The sequence below is a fragment of the Homo sapiens genome, chromosome 2 (assembly GCF_000001405.40).
Source record: "Homo sapiens chromosome 2, GRCh38.p14 Primary Assembly".
NCBI classification, from domain to species: domain Eukaryota; kingdom Metazoa; phylum Chordata; class Mammalia; order Primates; family Hominidae; genus Homo; species Homo sapiens.
The window spans coordinates 111,015,916-111,034,655 of record NC_000002.12 but is presented as its reverse complement, the minus strand read 5'-3'; the positions used below and the strand labels follow the sequence as shown (position 1 = coordinate 111,034,655).

Here is an 18,740-nt window from a genome sequence, read left to right as displayed (position 1 = left end):
TCGATTTCAAAACATTCCTGGGCTTTCTAAATGCTGTCATTGAACTAATTCTTATGATTTTTCTTCCATTACTTTCTTTATACTTCCAAGTCCTCTTTATCTGACATTGAACCTGAAGCCAGTTTCCTGAAAATAATCACTTGTGCTACTGTGGTTATGAACCAATAAAAGGTTCAGGGTTGATTTGGATTTATTTTGTACTGTGCCATCATCAAATCCTTGATATTTTCTCCGGGTGTGAAGACCTCATACACTCAGACTTAACCTGTTTCATTTTCCTCTTTTTCTTCCCTTTAAGGAACAAGGTCGAAAATGTTCTACTTTGGTTATAAGAACTAAGGTTTTCCTAGAGTAGTGATTAGCAGTAATAAAAAGGTTTTATTAAACATTAACAAAGAGCCAGATGCAAAGGCAAGAGCTTTGGAGCGTTGTCTCATTTAATATTTCCAACAGCCCCACGAGGTAAATATCATGCTCTCTACATTTTATAAATGAGGAAGAAACTGAAGCTCAGAGAGGGTTTGTAACTCACTCACAGTCACACAGCTGGTAGAGGTAAAGCCGGGATCTGAACCTGGTGACCTGACTCCAGAGCCCCCATCCTCAGTCCTCACTAAGCTCCACTGTGCTCTCAGCAAGCAGGCTGTGCAGCCCAAGGCTCAACTGTCATGTTTCTAAGGTGAAATGAATTGTGCAGTGATTCTTTGACTTCCCCCTTCCTTTTCAAACTTGATCACATTTCTGAATGCTTAGAAGTTTTGCACCAGGAGTCCATATAGTCCATCCTCATGTCCCAGGAAGGGCGATATCTGTGGTCAGTACATAGGGGCCCAGAGGGAGGAGCCAGGGCCACACCACCCCTGAGAGTGAAGCCAGTACAAGTCTACCTACAGTGAATGAGAAGGCCCAAGACACAGTCGCCTTCAATCAGGGTGTCTCAAGTACTGTTTCATACCCCAGATATGTTTCAACCCGATCGGCAAATCTGAAGAAATAACCCACCAACAGAAGAAGGGTGGTTTACATAAATTTCTTAAAGGAATGAGGTTGATGCTGAGTGTATGGAGATAGTCCAGGGAAGTAGACACACTGTGGGCTCTAGGGTCTGGAGCAGGTCACAGGGGACACTCAGATCTCCAGCCAGGCCTGAGGACACGAGCTGTCTTGATAGTGTGACTTCCTGCAACCTCCTAATTATAACTGAATTCTATCTGAAGATATGCTCGTAGAACAGATAGGGCATGTACTGATGACTTGGTGGCTGGATTTTCTTTCTGATGAATAAACTGGCATTTAGATTTAAATATGACTCATTTTTGAGTTCAATTAAGATAAGTCAGTTTCTCTGAGCCTGATACACTGTGGGTGGGCAATACATTAAAAATGTTGAGTCTGCAAATGACGGGACCCAATCCTGTGCCTTCATGACCCATAGTCCCTGATGCTCCTGGTCCCTCTCCTCGCTCCTCCTCCATGTCCCAGGAAGCAGAAAGTGGAACTCAGTCAGAATCAGGAAGGCCAATGCGGTCATGGTCATTTCAGAGTGTGGTCACTGGGTGGAGACCAGTCTCTGGGGAGGTGTTCCCATGGGGCCCCTGCTTCCCGTCCCATGAGAAACCTGTGCTCTCGGCACGTTTACTCCAGAGCCCTGTGTTAGGAGGCTCACCCAAAGGTGCAAGGTCCCAAGAGCTGGTCCTTAGAAGGAAGGAAGAAGCTGGGCTCAGTCTGAGCCTAAAGCACTCACTCCAATCCAGCTCTCATCAGAGCTCCTAGGGCGGCTCCCACACATTCCTGCAGGTATAGTCACATGGCACTGAATCACATGCACTTTGCTCTTTTGGAACTGCCCAGTCAGGGAGGAAGGGGGATGGTCAGGCTGGGAGGTTGTGTTGGACGCAGGCACACTCCTAGGTTCCTGGCCATAATACCTGCCCTGATCCCACCGAGGAGCCCATCTCCATCCCATGAGATAGTGCCCCAGATGCAAGCTGTGGTATGACCAAACCCAGCCCTCCCAGGGCCAGCAGTGACCCAGTGTGATGAAAAATCCCATAAAGCTACCAACTCAGTGAACAACTGGCCTTTCTCTTTTAACAGCTTCTTCCCATAGATCAGGACATGATGAGAAACAAACTGACGATTCTTGAAATTAAACAATAATTTCAATGATAAGCCGTCATGGATCTTACTTGGTGTTCAGTGTTTCATTTTATTTTGCTATTTTGGTCGACTGAAGCCAAAATGAATACTCAAGTTTCTCAATCTCAGCATTACTGTCATTTGGGGCTAGATAATTCTTGGTTGCAGGGGAGCGGTCTGTGCCCTGTAGCATGTTAGCAGTATCCCTGGCCTCCACCCACTGCGCACCAGTGGCACTACCCCTCTCAGTGTGACAACCAAAAACGTCTCTAAACATTGCCAAACATCCAAACGTTGCAAAATTGCCCCTGGTTGAGAACCACTGCTTTAGAAGGTTGACCCAGTTTCTTGCTAATTTGATGATGAGGTCTAAGTAATTCTGGCACTTAAAATTCCTCAGGCAGGACCCCTGTTAAAACACTCTCACTTTATCTGTGTGCACACCCTCCCGTTTAGGAACGAGATCATGGTCAGGCAGAGGGCCACTTCTGAGGGACAGGCATTTTGCCAACTGGCTCCTGTCAAGTGCTTCGTGTGATTGTCAGGTTGTGTTAAGTGAGCTGTTCCTGACTGGTTTAGCATCAGGCTTTGTGGGTGTCATATGGTCAGTGTTCCTAGTAAGTTGGGAGTTGATTTACCACAAGCTTCAAGTCTCTGTAAGTCACTTGGGGCCCTAAATTCAACACACGGACTGTCCCTTCCCTGTGTGTTGGGACTGTCCTTTCCCTGCAGAGCTGTGTCTCCAGGGACCCGTAGACCCCTGAGTCACTCAATTACAAATATTCAACAGGAGCCAACTGACCTCGGTGAGTGTGTGCCAGGGACAGAGAAGCCACGTGGTGCAGACACGAGTTCCAGGCATGGAAAAAATCCTCCTTCTTGGTCTTTACCTGTCCAATCGACAGAAGAAAAATCACCATTGAGGATATTGTGAGAGAGTCTAACTTAATAGCAAGACAGACGGCAAACATCCAAATTTTCAGTACTACATTAAGCATGGACACAGTGCAGAACCTTCTGTAGGCTGGCCTCTGTGACCTGCAAAAACTGCTTGTTAGATGAATAAATATCATACATGTAGAGAAGCCCTGTTTCCATGCTTATATTAATTTATACTAATGGAGGTCACAGACGTTAGAGAAACACGTGAAGGGGAGAATGCAGGCACAGATCAAGTGAGGCTGTTCTGATTGGGTCACTTACTGCCTGAAGAATTCAAAATACCAGAACAAACTACTTGAATCTAATCCTCAACATAACCAGCCCACGTTCCCTCCTTCCTTCCCTTGCAGTCAGGAGCTTCCATTTGTTTCCAAAGTGTTTCTCAAACATGTTATGTCTCAAGAATTGGCACTGACTAGCTGCCATGTTTGATATATGTGAGGAATTAACATAAACCTGGAGATAGGATCCAGAGTGATGGGGATGTCATTTATGCATGTGACAAATAGCTTTTCTGCATCTACTCTGTGCAAGATAGTCTTTCAATCACTCTAATGAAGCGAGTCTTTTTTCTTTGCTTTGTGTTTTAGTTGGAGGGAAGTGAGGACATATTAATATAACTAGAGTAAAATAAGAATGAAGAAGGCACAGAGAACAGAAAGATACCGAATCACAAAACTAGTAATTACCATCATTTAGGAGGAGCTGAAGGTCTCAGATTCTTATCTGACCAGACAGGAGAGTTAAATGTGGCCCGTAAAACTTTTCTTTGTTCCTTCTTGACTTTCTTTGTTTCGAAAACCACATGGGTTTAATACTTAAACTTTTAGCATTTTTTTTTTTGTGCTCAAGGAAATAACTCAAATAGAAAGTTACACTCAATGTATCTGCTTCTCATTTGTATTTAACTCACACCCTGACGTGCCCTCTCAGTTAAATAGTTACTTGCTTCCCTGCAGCTCTGCGGTTTCTGCGGGGCCTGGAGATCCACATGTAAAATCCCTGCTGTAACACAGTGCTTTGTGCTCCGGTGGAAAAACAGCGCTGCTGAAAGCCTCTACCCATGTATAATTTAGCAACATCACCTGGGGCCGCAGGCACAGTTTGGAGGACAATGTCATGGGTGCCTCGGGATCCACACCTAACTGGGGCATCTCATGACAATCGAGGGAAAGGATAATGTCTGCTTTGCTCCCTGAATTGATATCTCTCTGCACTGGTGTCACAATTACAACTGAAAGGGTGTGGCAGATGCATGCAACTCTCAGGGAACAGCCTGCAGCAGAACATCTTGGCAGGGGGAGGACAAGAGCTGGCCAGACACTTCTGGAAGTTCTGGAAGGAGATGCTGAAGCTCTACCCATTCCACTGTAAAGGACAACACCAGGAAATCCCAGTTAATATGGTTTAACCTCCTAATCATGCACCGACTATCCCCCACCATTGCATGGGAGGCAGAGAAGAATAAAACACTGTGCACATGTGTCCAAATAGAATCAAGGGCACTTTTTAATTGCTTTTTTTTTTTAAACTCAATGTGTAGAGTAAGTTTTTCACTGGCCTGATCAAAAGAAAACCAGGGACAGAAAACTAACTGGCTGTGCAATGCAGACCCCTGCCTGAAGAAGGGACTTCAGGTGGGAAACTTTGCAGAAAGCCCTGTGCAAAGCTGGCTACAACTGCACCCCTCAGAGTATGAGGAAAAAGGAAAAAAAACCACAACAAGTTCAAGTGAAGAGGAAAGGCCCCTTGAAGGCCTACCAGCCAGCTCCCAAGTGCTCTTCCTTATATGTCAATATCTTGGTGCTGTTGCAGGACATTGGAGCAGGCTCAGTGTAACCTCACCCCTGCTGGCAAGAGGCTCCCTGGCCCCACCTCCAGACCCGCCCCAGGCAGGAAGAAGAGCACCCAGGTCTTGGGGCATGCTGATGGAAAGGCAGCATTCCTAGAATAGGAAAGCAACTGACTGAGAAGCCTCTGTCCCCTTGAATTAGAGTTTATTGGTAGGAAATAAGAGGCTGAAGCCAACTGCGGGCTTCACAGTGATCCTCACGCCCAGATGGGCTGACCTAGGAGCAGTATAGGCTCTACACACCATTCTGCTGTCAAGTGGTCAAAATGAACGCATCAGAAGGTCAAATTCTGGCTCGGCCTCCAAGTGCAGAGACAGCATTAACTTCGAGAGTATTGCTGGCAACCATTATAACCCTCTAATTGCCTATGCAATGCACAAGATTTTAAAATATATGTATTGCACAAACAATATTGTGAAACAACAGAAATCAACTCTCTCATCTTAAAAAAACCTTAATACGAGGTTCCAGGAGGGGATTTAAAAAATGATATGGCTGTTCTTTGCTTCAGGCAATAAACATGCTACTGAAAACCTATGTGTAAATACAGTCTTATGCCAACTAAGTCCTTCTTAAAAATGCACCAGAAAACAGGCTCTGTTTTAAGCACTTAATTGTATTTGCTCATTAAGTCTTCAGAAGCTCTGGAAGTAGATTTTATTAAGATCTTCATTTTGCAGGTAGGAAATTGCAACACAGAAATGTTCAGTAACTTGGACAAGGTTGCAGAGCTGAGTTGGAACAGGGTGCCCAGGCCTCTGAGCCCACATCCCTAACCATGGGCTACACTGCCTCCCAATGGACTGAGAGTGAGTTAGTTCCCTGGCAAAACCTGCCCCTCCCAAGCATGCTGTTTATAAAGATGGATGATCACACATGGTCACATTTAATATCAACAACATCCCATACTTAAATCTTTGAATGAAAAGATATGACTATTTCCTGATAAAGCATCACACAGCTAAGACAAAGAGCTGAATGCATAAAGAAGTTTCCCCATATCCATTCGCCTTTCTTTTCTTGAAAAGCCTCAAATAGATTTGGGCAGCCATACAGCCAATTAAAAAAATACTTTCCTGCAGAGGATCTACAAAAAATGTCAGCTAACATCATACTTAAAGGTAAAGGCTGAGTGCTTTCCCCTTAAGTTCAAGTAGAAGATGAGGATTCTGTTATCAGCACTTCCTTTCAACACCAAAATGGAGATTCTAGCCAGGGCAATAAGGCAAGAAAAGGAAATTAAAGGAGATTAAAAAGGAATAAGTAGGCCAGGCACAGTGGCTTAAACCTGCAAACCCAGCACTTTGGGAGGCCGAGGAGCTCAGAGGGCTGAGGTGGGAGGATTGCTTGAGCCTGGGTATACTGAGCCAAGATCATGCCATTGCACTCTAGCCTGGGTGACACAGTGAGACCCTGTCTCAAAAAAACTCCAAAACAAACAAAAAGGAGTAAGTAAGACTGACTCCACTCAAAAAGACATGATTGTCTATGTAGAAAAATCTTAAGAAATATTTATTTATTTATTTATTTTTGAGACAGGGTCTCACTCCTGTCACCCAGGCTTGACTGCAGTGGCATGATCATGGCTCACTGCAGCCTTGACCTCCTGGGTTCTTGCAATCCTCCCAACCTCAGCCTTCTGGGTAGCCGGGACTACAGGTGCACAACACCATGCATGGCTAACTCTTCTGAATTTTCAGTAGAGATAGGGTCTTGCTGTGTTGCTGGATCTGGTCTCAAACTCCTGGGCTCGAGTGATCTGCCAGCATTGGCCTCCCAAAGTTGCTGGAATTACAGGTGTGAGCCACTGTGCCCAGCCTAAGAAATATATAATAAAGCTGTTAGAGAAATAGGAGCACAGGAGAACCAAGGTGACATCATTTTAAAATCAACTCCATCTTAAAACTAGCAAGGCACATTCCTTGCCAGTCATGAACCATGGTCATAAGATGTTTACAGTTGAGAAAACAGCTTAAATGTACCTGAAAGAACACAATCTTACAACAAAGGAAAGTCCAGATGTCCCAATAACCATAACGATATATGATTTTAAGATAATTATATTTATGCTTTGAGGTACTTATTCAATAAAAAAAACAAGGGGCCAAGTGCGGTGGCTCACGCCTGTAATCCCAGCACTTTGGGAGGCTGAGGTGGGCAGATCACGAGGTCAGGAGTTCGAGCCTAGCCTGGCCAATATGGTGAAACCCTGTCTCTACCAAAAATACAAAAATTAGCTGGGTGTGGTGGCACACACCTGTAGTCCCAGCTACCCGGGAGGCTGAGGCAGAAGAATCGCTTGAACACAGGAGGTGGAGGTTGTAGTGAGCCGAGATCATGGCACTGCACTCCAGCCTGGGTGACAGAGTGAAACTCTGTCTCAAAAAAAAAAAAAAGAATAATTTTCTTTAAATCAACAGAATAGTAAATTTTGCCATGCTGTCAGCTCTCCCACACATAGACAGAACTTAGCTTAGCCTTTACAAAGATAAGACCCCTATATAAGAAGGGTTTAAAACAAAGATGGCCCAGGCGTGGTGGCTCACGCCTGTAATCCCAGCACTTTAGAGGCTGAGGTGGGTGGATCACTTGAGCCCAGGAGTTCAAGACCAGCCTGGGCAACATGGTGAAACCCCGTCTCTACAAAAAACACAAAAATTAGCTGGGCGTGATGGTGGGTGCCTGTAGTTTCAGCTACTTGGGAGGCTGAAGTGGAAGTATCACCTGAGCCTGAGAGGGTCAAGGTGCAGTGAGCCATGATCGTATCACTGCACTCCAGCCTGGGCAACAGAGGGAGACCTTATCTTAAAAAAACGAAAACAAAAACCCAACAACAACAACAAAACACAAAGACTGCACATTCCTCCTCTTGCTTTCTGAGGACACCCTACTCTGTAACTGAGTAGTTTTCAATAAATGATCTCTTCTCACTGCACTGTGACTTGCCTTGAATTCCTTCCTGCACATGATCCAAGAACCCCCTCTTGGGATTTGAATCAAGGCCCATCTTCTGGCAACAAAGCTACTGGAACTACTGAGTTAAAGAAAGGCACAAAGTACAAGATTGATATACAAAAATCAATTGTATTTCTATATTCTAGCAATGAACTGGAACTCAAAATAAAAATGCCATTTACAATAGCATCAAAAATGTGAAATCCTTAAGGATACATTTTATAAAATATATTTTATATTTATATTATAAAATATATTTTTATTTTATAAAATGTAAGATCTATATATGAAAACTAAAAAAACTTCACAGAACGAAATTTTAAAAGACCACTTAAAAAAACGGAGAACTATACATTGTGTTCATAGGTCAGAGAACTCGATATTGCTAAGATGTCACTTCTCCCCATATTGATCTATAGATGCAACACAATGCCAATCAAAATGAATGCCAGCAGACCTTATTTTGTGTGAGTATGGTAGAACCATACAAGCTAATTAGAAAATTTGTAAAAGAATACAGAGGACCTAGAAAAGTCAAAACCATTTTGAGAAAAGAAGCATTGGAGGATTCACACTGCCTCATTTTAAGGCTTCCTATAAAGCTATAGTAAACGCAACAGTACGGTATTGGGGTAAGGATAGAAACATGAGTGAATAGAACACAGTAGAGAGTTCAGAAACAGAGCCACATATGTATATGGTCTACTGATTTTCTACAAAGGTACCAAGGTAATTGAATGAGGGGAAAACAATTTTTCAACAAATGGCACTAAAACAATTGAACATCCACATGAAAAAACAAAGAAATAAATGAACCTTATCCTTTACTTCATACCATATACAAAAGCTAGCCCAAAGAGAATCATAGACCTAAATGTAAACACTAAATCTACAAAGTTTCTAGATGAAAACCTAACAGAAAATCTTAGTGACCTTGGTTTAGATTTTGTGAGATAAGACACAAATTTTGAATGTTTTCAAAATTTAAATACACTGTGAAGCAAATGAAAAGGCAGGTAATGGATGAGGCAAAAATCTATGCAATCTCATATAATAAAGGATTTCTGTACAGAATTTGTAAAGACATCTACAGCTCAGTCACAGGAAAACAAAACCCAGTTTAACAGATGGACAGAAAATCTGAACACACACTTCACCAAAGAAGACAAAATGAATAGCAAATAAACACATGAAGAAGATCTGAGAAACGCAGATTAAGACCACAATGAGAAGGTACTACGCACCCACTAAAATGGCTAAAATGAGTAAGACTTGCAAAACCGAGTATTGGTGAGGATGTGGAGCAACTAAAATCATTGCTGATGGGAGTGTAAAATGTTACAGCCACTTTAGAAACAGCTGGGCAATTTCTGATTAAGTTAAACCTATACCTATAGAAGAACCCAGCCATTCCACCCCTCGGTATTTACACAAGATAAACAAAAACATATGTCCACATAAAGTCACATATAAAATTGTTCACAGAAGCTTTATTCATAATAGCCAACACGGGAAGCAGTGCGTACATCTACCACCTGCTTAATGGGTAAACAAATTGTATACACCTACACAAACGAATACCACTTCACAATAAAGAGGAACAAACCTAAGCTGTTCCATTTCTATTAAATTATAGAAAAGGCAAATTTACAATGAAAGAAAGATAAGTAGTTTCCAGGAGTTGGGGATGGGGAAGGGATTGACTGCAAAGTTGCACAAAGGAACTTTGTGGGTGACAGAAATGTCCTATATCCAGATGCTAGTGGTGGTTATATGACATATGCATTTGTCAAAACTGGTTAGTTGTACATTTAAAATTGGTTAATTTTAATTCATGTAAATTATATGTAATATATATTATTATACATTTATATATTATATAATTTTTATATATAAAAATGGATTTCTTTTTTTTTAAATCTCACCTCCCCATACTCCCTAGCCGCTAGGGTTAGACATGTAACCTCCCTTGCCAATGAGAACAGGCAGTTGTCTACCGGGAAGCTCCTCTGTAAAAGCTACTGTTTTCCTGATAACAAGATACCGCCTTTTTCTCTTTGTCCTTTCTGCACCTACCTGCTTGGAACTCAGCCACCATGTGACCTTGAGAACAGTTTTAAAGGCTGCACTATGGAGGTATATTGGTTCCCTAGGGCTGCTGTAACTCCTTACCACAATCCTAGTGGCTAAAAACAGAAATGTATTCTCTCGCAGTTCTGGAGGCTAGAAGTCTGAAATCAAGGTGTCAGCAGTTCCATGCCACCTCTGAAGGTTCTTTCTTTCCTCTTCTGGCTTCTGGTGGTTGCCAGTGGTCTCCAACATTCCTTGGCTTGCAGCTGCTTCACTCCCATTGCTGCCTCCACCAGCATAAAGCCTTCTTCCATGAGTCTCTGCTCTTCTTATAAAGACAGCAGTCATATTGGGTTAAAGCCCACCCTACTCCAGTGTGACCTAATTTGATTCCATCTGCAAAGACCCTATTTCCAACAGGGTCACATTCACAGGTACTGCGGGTTAGGACTTGAACATATCTTTTTCAAGGACAGAATTCAATCTACAACCTGGGGACAGAGAGGACGGAGAGAGTAAGAGCCCTGGCCCTTCTTTGTCATGGAGCCACAGCCTGAGTCCTAGGCTGCCTACCTCTGTCTTCTCATTGGGGGAGAACAGCAAGCCCCTCTTTAGTTAAACCACAGCAGACAAGCACTTTAGCTGATACACTCTGCCTCCCCTAATTGTTAAAGGTGATCACAGTCCCTCCTTGACCTGTTCAACAGGAGGCCAGGGTGCCCAGCACTAGCAAAACACTGGGCCTGAGGTGGCAGTTCACTGAGTGAGTGAGTGCTCAGATTGTCCTTGCATGTTCTCTTGGCCCAGCCACCCACCTTCCACCATCGCAGCCTAGGAGTGTCCCTCCTCGGTCTGGGTGTCCTTGGTCTTCTCCCAACCACAGCATTTTAAGGCCCCTGTGGTGGCTTCCCCAGCTGTGACAGCTTCCCCAGCTGTGACAGCTTCAATTTCCCTGTCTGGCCCATGCCTTCCTCCAGCCCTGTGTTCTGTGCCCACTCTGCCCTCCAGCCACGCTGAGGGGCTCAGTGTCTCTCTTGGCAATTATCCTCCATCCTGCTCCATACCCAGGACCACCTAACGCTCAGCAGCATGCTCTGCATCTCACTATTTCCCATGGGGCCCCTTCTCCCACACGTCCCCACACCCATCCGGACCCACAGATGGCCCCTTCCTCATGCCAGCCTTCCAGCCCAATACCACTTCCACGGGCTACAGATGTCTCCCTGTAATCAAAAAATCCCATTTTTTGATTAAAACAGGATGAGCAGAAACCTGAGGGAGTGCACAATCCTCTGCAGAATGCATCAGGCCTTTCCAGTGCCATCATTTCTGCTTCCACCTTCTGAGTTCTTCAGGGTCCTGTCCAGGGCAGCGTTTAAAACATTCCTCCCCTTGTACCTAGCCCCAGATCCATTTGTATGTCCTTAGAGTGATTTGACCGTGCTTACTCCTAAATCTCCCCGCTCCCCTCTCATCTCCCTGTGCACAGAGGTGGCATCATCAGGAAAGAGTCCAGTCCTGATCAATAACTGCACTCCCACCTGGTAGACAGAAGGACGTCTCGGAGCCTGGATGTCAGCTTTTGCGACACACATCAGGTGCTGCCCCTCTCACATGACGCCCATCAGATATGGAGTTCAACAACAGACATGGAGTATGCAGCTACATTAAAATATTTTTATAGACAAGTAGAGGCCAACACTATGATTGCTTCCCCACTTTCTGCTCTTGGGGGTGAGCCCTGAACTGCCTAGCCAGTAACCACCTTGCAGAGTCACGGGAAATGTCGCAAGCCAGATCTTCCCAGGCCACAGAGTCTTTTTTCTTCCTCCTTCTCCTTCCTTTTCTTCTCTTTCCTTTCTGTAGTAAGTGTCGCCAGTGGCCTGGGCTTCCAGCGTGGTCACCTCCAACACAGTGGTACCTGCCCTCGCCTCCCTCTGCTGCAGGCCCCTAGGAGCCCTCCCTGCCTCCTGGTTGGCCCTGGCTGGGAGGTCTGGGGGCCCCTGGGGGTCCTGCCCACACCTCTCTGTGACTGCACTGGCTGATGTGGGCAGAACACGCGGCTGCCTTCCTCGGGGTCCCCAGAAGCACCTCCAGATGCCATTGCTTGCCTTGGGGGTATCCTGACAGATGTAAGCCCGCCCCTGCCTGTGCCAGGGGCAGGAAGGGACCATCCCTCATCTGCTCAGCCCCATCTCTATCTTCCTGTCTCTCTTCCGGTTTGACTTTCTTTCTTGTGTGTGCCTTTGTGTGTGTGTGTGTGTGTGTGTGTGTGAGGAGGGGTCTTTATATATTTGTCTGTCTTCCTGTATTTTTCTTTTTCTTTTTTTTGATATGGAGTTTCGCTCTTGTCACCTAGGCTGGAGTGCAGTGGAACGATCTCGGCTCACCACAACCACTGCCTCCTGGTTTCAAGCGATTCTCCAGCCTTGGCCTCCCAAGTAGCTGGGATTACAGGCGCCCACCACCATGCCTGGCTAATTTTTGTATTTGTTTAGTGGAGACAGGGTTTCACCATGTTGGCCAGTGTTGGTCAGGCTGGTCTTGAACTCCTGACCTCAGGTGATCTGCTCGCGTCGGCCTCCCAAAGTGCTGGGATTACAGGCATGAGCCACCACGTCCGGCCTTCCTATATTTTTCTTTCTGTATTACGTCTTTACAATTTTTTCTATTCTGTATTTTTTCATCTCTCTCTCTCTGGTCTAGATGAGTTCTGTCTTTTTTTCTGGGCTTACATAAGCACTTTTTTACTCTTCTATATTTTTAATTTTGCCGTGTTTTTCTGCCTTTCTGTATTCCTTGGTCCTTCCAAGTTTTTTCTTTTTTTTCTTTTTTACATTCCCCAGAAACAGATCTCGTTTTTATTTTTATTCCTGTATTTCTATCTCTTTTTCCTTGTGGTGTTCTCTCTTGTTTCCTGGGTTAATTCAAGTGTCTCAACTTCCACTCTTCTCTCATGTATTTGCACTCCAAATGATTCCTCCCTTTCATCTTTAGATATTTTCTCTATTAAACTTGGTTTCCTCTGCTTGGCTTTGGGAAGAGGGTCCTCCCCTCTCCACCCGCAGCCTCTCTTCCTGAGCTCTGAGATGCCCTCTTTCTGTACTGAAGGGCAGGTGTGGCAGGTCCTCAAGGAGAGTCTCCCAGAGAATAAGGGGGCTGGGCCCAGTAGCCAGCGGCTCACTGGTGGCTTCTGAGATGAGAATGTGGGATTCTTGGCACCTTTGCCCTAAGCTTTGAAACTGAGCTAGAATTCCAAGACAGCAGGGTAAACAAATCTCCCTCAACATCCTGCTACATATGAGAAAAAGGGAATATGGGAGAAAGGATACAGAGAGCACCCTGATGTCCACAGTTCCCAGCTTGTTTCCCACGGAGAAAGAGAAGTGCCCAGACAGGACTGTATCCCGGATTCGGGGGCCAGCTGCAGGATTCTTGTCTGGTCTCTGAGACCCAGTGAAATGCTGAGCCCAGGTCAGAGTTGAAGTACAAGGTGCTTTCCTCCACTGGCCCACTCCTCTACCCTTCGCCCCTGCCACCCTTGCCTGTCCCAGCCTCCTCTGCACCAGAATCTCCCTTTGCTCAGAATGTGGCAGGTGACAGTTCTGCAAGGTGGAGCAGGTGAAATAGTCCCTGTCTAGGGAGGCGTGCCCCTGAGGTGCAAGGCTGGAATTCACAACACATTTTCCTAGAAAAACACAATGCCAAAGTGATCGATGGCATTGATAATGCTATGAATGGGTCCAGCAACCAGGACATACTGAGCACCTTCCATGTTCCAAGCACTGCACTGAAGTGCTGTGTAAGAAAGACATTCTGCTTTTACAGAGGAGTCTCAGAAGAGTTCAACATCTGTCTCTAGGTCACACACTGGAACCCAAATAAATATGGCTCCAAAGAATACGATCTGTCTGGCCCTCCTGGTCCCCAGGCCCCAACACAGCTGGTTCAGCACAGCTGCATGAGAGCCCACATCATTGTTCACAAAGGGGGCTCCTAGCAGACTGTCTTGTTCACAGCAGCAAAAATATCATCTTTCTCAATGGTGTTTGGTGCAGGGGAGGGTCTCAGTAAATGTATATTCAAAGATACACACACATATGCACATGCACATGTGCACACACACACGGCTTCCCGCTATCCTGAACCATATCCAGAGCACACATCACTCTCTTGCTTCAGATATTTGTACATGCAATTCTCTCCACCAGAATACCCTCCACCACCTAACTACCTCCTCCTGGTTTCAAGAATGTAAGACACCTCATCAGGAAGCCCCCCACCAGCTCTCCATCCCCAGAGTGATTCAGGCATCCTCCTGGGAGCTCCCACCAAGCCGGCATGTCCACCACAGAAACTTTTGACATGCTGCCATGCGAGCGCTGCTCTGACTGGGGCAGGACTGCAACCACCCCAGCAACCAGCACAGCACGGGGAGCCTGGTCAGGCAATGACCACATGAAGGAAGCCCCACCCACGGATGGGTGGTGAGAGTAGAGATGGATGCACCAGGTGGGAGCAGAAAAGAAAGTGGATTCACCAGGCACGGTGGCTCATGCCTGCAATCCCAGCACTTTGGAAGGCCGAGGCAGGTGGATCACTTGAGGTTAAGAGTTCGTGACCAGCCTGGCCAACAGGGTGAAACCCCATCTCTACTAAAAATATAAAATTAGCTGGGTGTGGTGGCATGTGCCTGTAATCCCATTTACTCGGGAGGCTGAGGCAGGAGAATCGCTTGAACCGGAGAGGTAGTGGTTGGAGTGAGCCAAGATTGTGCCACTGCACTCCAGCCTGGGTGATAGCGGGAGACTCCGTTTCAAAAAAAAAGAAAAAGAAAAAGAAAGTGAATTCAGTGTGGATTCAGAGGGCAGAGAAATAGAGCAAATTCAGCACAGGGGGTCAGCCACTCACTGCACGGCAGTTGCGGGGCCTGCCAGGATCTCTGCAGCCTCTTCTTTCACGCACGCTGTCTTCCAAGCTCTGGTCTGGAGTCCGGCAATATAAACAGACCCCAAAGACAAAGTCTATGCCTGGTGAAGACTTGACCATTTTTGTCACACACACGAGTTCCAGGAGTGGGAAACGGTACGTGTTTGATCTGACCTGTTTCTGAAACTTTTCCCTGTTGAGGCTTAACTGAAACTGTCAGAACATGAAATCAACAGGGCCTTGGCAAAGGGCTTCTATAATTGAATATATTACTTTCCAATTTCTCCTCCTTCTTCCCTTTTGTGTCAAATGAAGAGTCCGGTTTTCATTACCGAGCCTTTCGGAATAGAAAATGATTGTTGGATGATCCATTCTTTTTGGTCATTTAGCACGCATTTGAACTCTACTCTCCTGAAATTGATCTTGGTAATTTCCAACAACAGATGTGTAAATAAATGTTTGATACTTTCTCCCATTTTTTAACAGTTTCCTCATTTTGAAAGTTCCTCCTTAACTGTCCTGGTGGATGGAGGAATAGAAAGGGGAAAATCAGGAGGCCTTAAATAGATTTTACAGGCACCAAAGCATGCATTTGGAGTACGGTCAGCTAGAAAGATCTTGTTTCAATAATATGATCTTCACGTTCAGCTGAAGACTATGTTATGGAACCTGACTGCCCTTAGTGACTGCTTAAAGCTGACATAAGGCAGAAAAATGTACATTTAATATGGGAAAGAAATTAGGCCTCAAGATCTTTGTTTCCTGAATCTCTGCAGCAGCTCAGCTGGTGCTGGGCCCATGAGGCAGCTGCAGGAGGCATTCTTGGGGCTGTGAGTGGGAGGTGATGGGTATAGTATGCGGAAAATCCACCCCATGAGGGGTTTGGGGCAAATCCAGTGAAGAAGGGACTGGCAAGGGAAGTGCTAACCCAACTGCAATTTGGGGCTCCTTGGGGCTCTGTGTCTCCAACTCCACTATGGCATCCTCTCTTCCCAGCTTTGACCCCTCCCTCAGCTCGCTCCCCATCACAGCGTCCCAAGTCCCACCAACACCCCCTCCAGCCTCTCTGCTACCACCCAAGCTCGGGCTGCATCCTCACTCTTCTGGGCCCTTGGTTACTACGGCCTTTGAATGGTCACTCTCTCAGCACGGACCTCAGAAGGCTCTCCCTAGAACTCCCATGTGATCAGGCCATGACCCCTACAGGGAAGGGAGAAATGGAAGGTCCACAGCCTCACACAGGGCACACAAGACTGTGGGCCCATCCGCCACCCAATCACCCTGTCCGTCAGCCTCTCTAGCCTGTGACCCAATGGGATACTGATGGGCTTCACGCCCAGGCTGAACTTGCCAGTCACTCACTGACATCCCCATGCCTTGCCTCAAAGGTCAGTCCCACTCTCTGCCTGGGGATGATAGGACAGGGCACGCTCTGCCATTTGTTATTCCAGACTCAGTTCCAGTCTCACGGCTATCCTAGCCCCTATGCACCAAGCCCACCCCACGGTATGTGCCTCCTCCCTCCCCGCTGCTCCCTCCTCCGTCCCCTCTCCCTGCACTTCCCCTGCCATCCTTCCCTCCCAGACAGAGTTCCTCGGGGACAGGAACTGTCATCCTCACACCTCAGAACTGGTAAGCAGCATTTTTTTTAAAGGACCTAGTCAGCAAAAATAAAAATGTTTACAGGTCATTTTGTTCCTTAATTTTTTATTTAGCTATATATTTGAAGTTTCAACTAAGCATTTTTATGTATTTTACCGTAACTAAGGGACTTACATTTTTGGCTAAGCCTTTAAGAATACTAAAACCCACTCACTTTTCAGAACTTCAAGAAAACTTATGAATGTCTTTGCAAGCGGCAGGGAGAGAGGTTTCAGATACCTGCCAGTAAGGAGCGAAACAATATCAGGGATTAAACAACAGTAACAACTACAATACCACTAACCAAACCAGAACCACACTACCTAACTGCCCAAGGTGCTGGCAAGCAGGGAAGGAGGGGCAGGAATCTGAACAGGTCACCAAGAGCTGCCACATGGAATTCTAGGTCAGTAAGTGGCCATGGTTCTCCACCGCTAAGCCACGAAGCTGGCAAGCAGGCAGGCTGGAGTTAGCACTGCCCCCAGAGAAGGTGAAGGCGTTGACGGGGATGAATCTGACTCCCCTCTCTCCCTTCTCTGCACTTCTTTCTCTGCTGTGTCCTAATCATGCATGTCACCTGCATGCTTGGTTCTAAATGCCTCCTCCCCAATAAAGGCCACTGCTCCCCACTTGGCCTCTAGTGGCAGAAATGTCCCCACCCTACTGTGCTGCTGGAGGCAGGAAGCTGCTGCCACTGCTGAGCTTGCGCAGAAATGGTGAGGGCGTGTGGTCTGACAACTTTCTGGGGTCCCTTTTCTCAGTTCTGCGGTAAGATTGCTGGTTATGTGGCAAGACAATGGACTCTGAACAGTTCCTCGCTATGGCAGGAACTCAACAAATGTCTGTGATCCCAGCTCACCACGAGGGCCTGCCCTCTGGCCTTGTGCAGACAGGGCAAAATAGAATAACAGGCTCATTTCTGCACACCCCAATACCACCACCTCCAGTAATGCCTCACCCCAGGGCAAGTCTGCTCCCTAATCAGGGGGGAACTTCAAGAAACTGTAGTGCGGTGTTGTCACTTACGCCAAGTCAAACTCACTAGCAATTGGTGTAGGGTAAGCTGGAAAATGTCACTTCAATTGTATGCTCTTCAGTCATGAGACCAGAGCTTGTCACATGTCCCCATTGATTTGCCTGTTTCTGAAACTGAGCTCTGTCTTGTCCCATTATCTTGCTGGCTGATTTGCCCAACTCCATGACTGGCCCTTCCTCACCATCTTGCTGGGGCCCTGCTTCCAGGGGTCCATCCTCCCCAGTGAATAGAATATCCAGACTCTCTAGGGCCCATCTGCCTGTGTTCAGGGCCAGCCCTCCACTGCTTGCCTCTTGCCAGGCTTCTGTGACCCTGGCTACTGGTACAGACCACCCCCACCATCTGTCAGTCACCCTGCTACCTGGATTCCATGCTGCTGGCTGGCCTGGGCACCCACTGCCATTTTTCGATGTAACACTGCAAAGTGCCTAGCACGGGGCCTGGCCCAGGATGGACACGTGATGAGTGTGAGCTGTTGTCATTAGCCATTGCTTCTTCCCCCAGTAGGTGTATCAAGATTCAGCAGCTGAAGCCTGTTCTAGATTTCTAAACTTCCATTTTCACATGAAAAGACAGTACCTGTAATGCAAACAATCTGTCTGACTGCTGTGAGGACCTGTTTAAGTTATAATTGTAAATGTTTTCACTGAAGTAGAAAACACATACAGTCAGATGTGTAGCACACGTAAGTCTTAAGTTTAAAGCTCCAGGATTCCTTACATGCACATATGCCCATGGAATCACCCAGATCAAGATACAGAACATTTCCTATACCCTCTCTCTGAACTCCCCCACCAGGCAGTACCACCCTCTCCCCTCAGACTGTGATCACCAGATCACCATCAACTGGTTTGGGGTCAGGCACAGTGGCTCACACCTGTAATCCCAGCACTTTGGGAGGCCAAGGAGGGAGGATTACTCGAGGTCAGGAGTTTGAGACCAGCCTGGGCAATACAGTGAGACCCTAACTCAAAAAAAAAAATTAAAAAAATTAGCCAGGCGTGGTGGGACATGCCCATAGTCCTAGCTACTCAGGAGGCTGACGCAGGAGGATTGCCTGAGCCCAGGAAGTAGAGGTTGAAGTGATCTATGATTGTACCACTGCACTCCAGCCTGGGCAACAGAGTAAGATCCCGTCTCTAAAACAAAAGAAAACAGAAACAAAACTAATTTCA

At 46.2% G+C, this 18,740-nt stretch overlaps 1 protein-coding gene across 26 annotated transcripts in view, besides 1 other annotated feature; it reads right to left on the bottom strand.

The window, feature by feature from the left end:
* ACOXL (acyl-CoA oxidase like) overlaps nt 1–18,740 on the bottom strand; it is a 385,976-nt gene that overhangs the window by 83,893 nt on the left and 283,343 nt on the right. For 21 of the 26 annotated variants that reach the window (NM_001437600.1, NM_001142807.4, XM_011511411.4 and 18 more), the window contains one exon: nt 2,942–3,029. The exons of 4 other annotated variants lie outside the window; for them this stretch is intronic. In NM_001437600.1, coding sequence (NP_001424529.1) covers nt 2,942–3,029 — 88 coding nt within the window. Of the gene's footprint in view, nt 1–2,941; nt 3,030–12,736; nt 18,145–18,740 lie in introns of those variants that run through there. One more of the 26 variants, XM_011511429.3, reaches the window with a different exon arrangement.
* Nucleotides 1,070–2,269: an enhancer, noted in NCBI's record as "P300/CBP strongly-dependent group 1 enhancer chr2:111789964-111791163 (GRCh37/hg19 assembly coordinates)". NCBI's record gives its function as "activates an origin of replication core promoter dependent on BRD2, BRD4, P300/CBP, MED14 and CDK7 cofactors, with strong dependence on P300/CBP, by STARR-seq in HCT116 cells {active_cell/tissue: HCT116}" and the evidence as "EXISTENCE:reporter gene assay evidence [ECO:0000049][PMID:35650434]".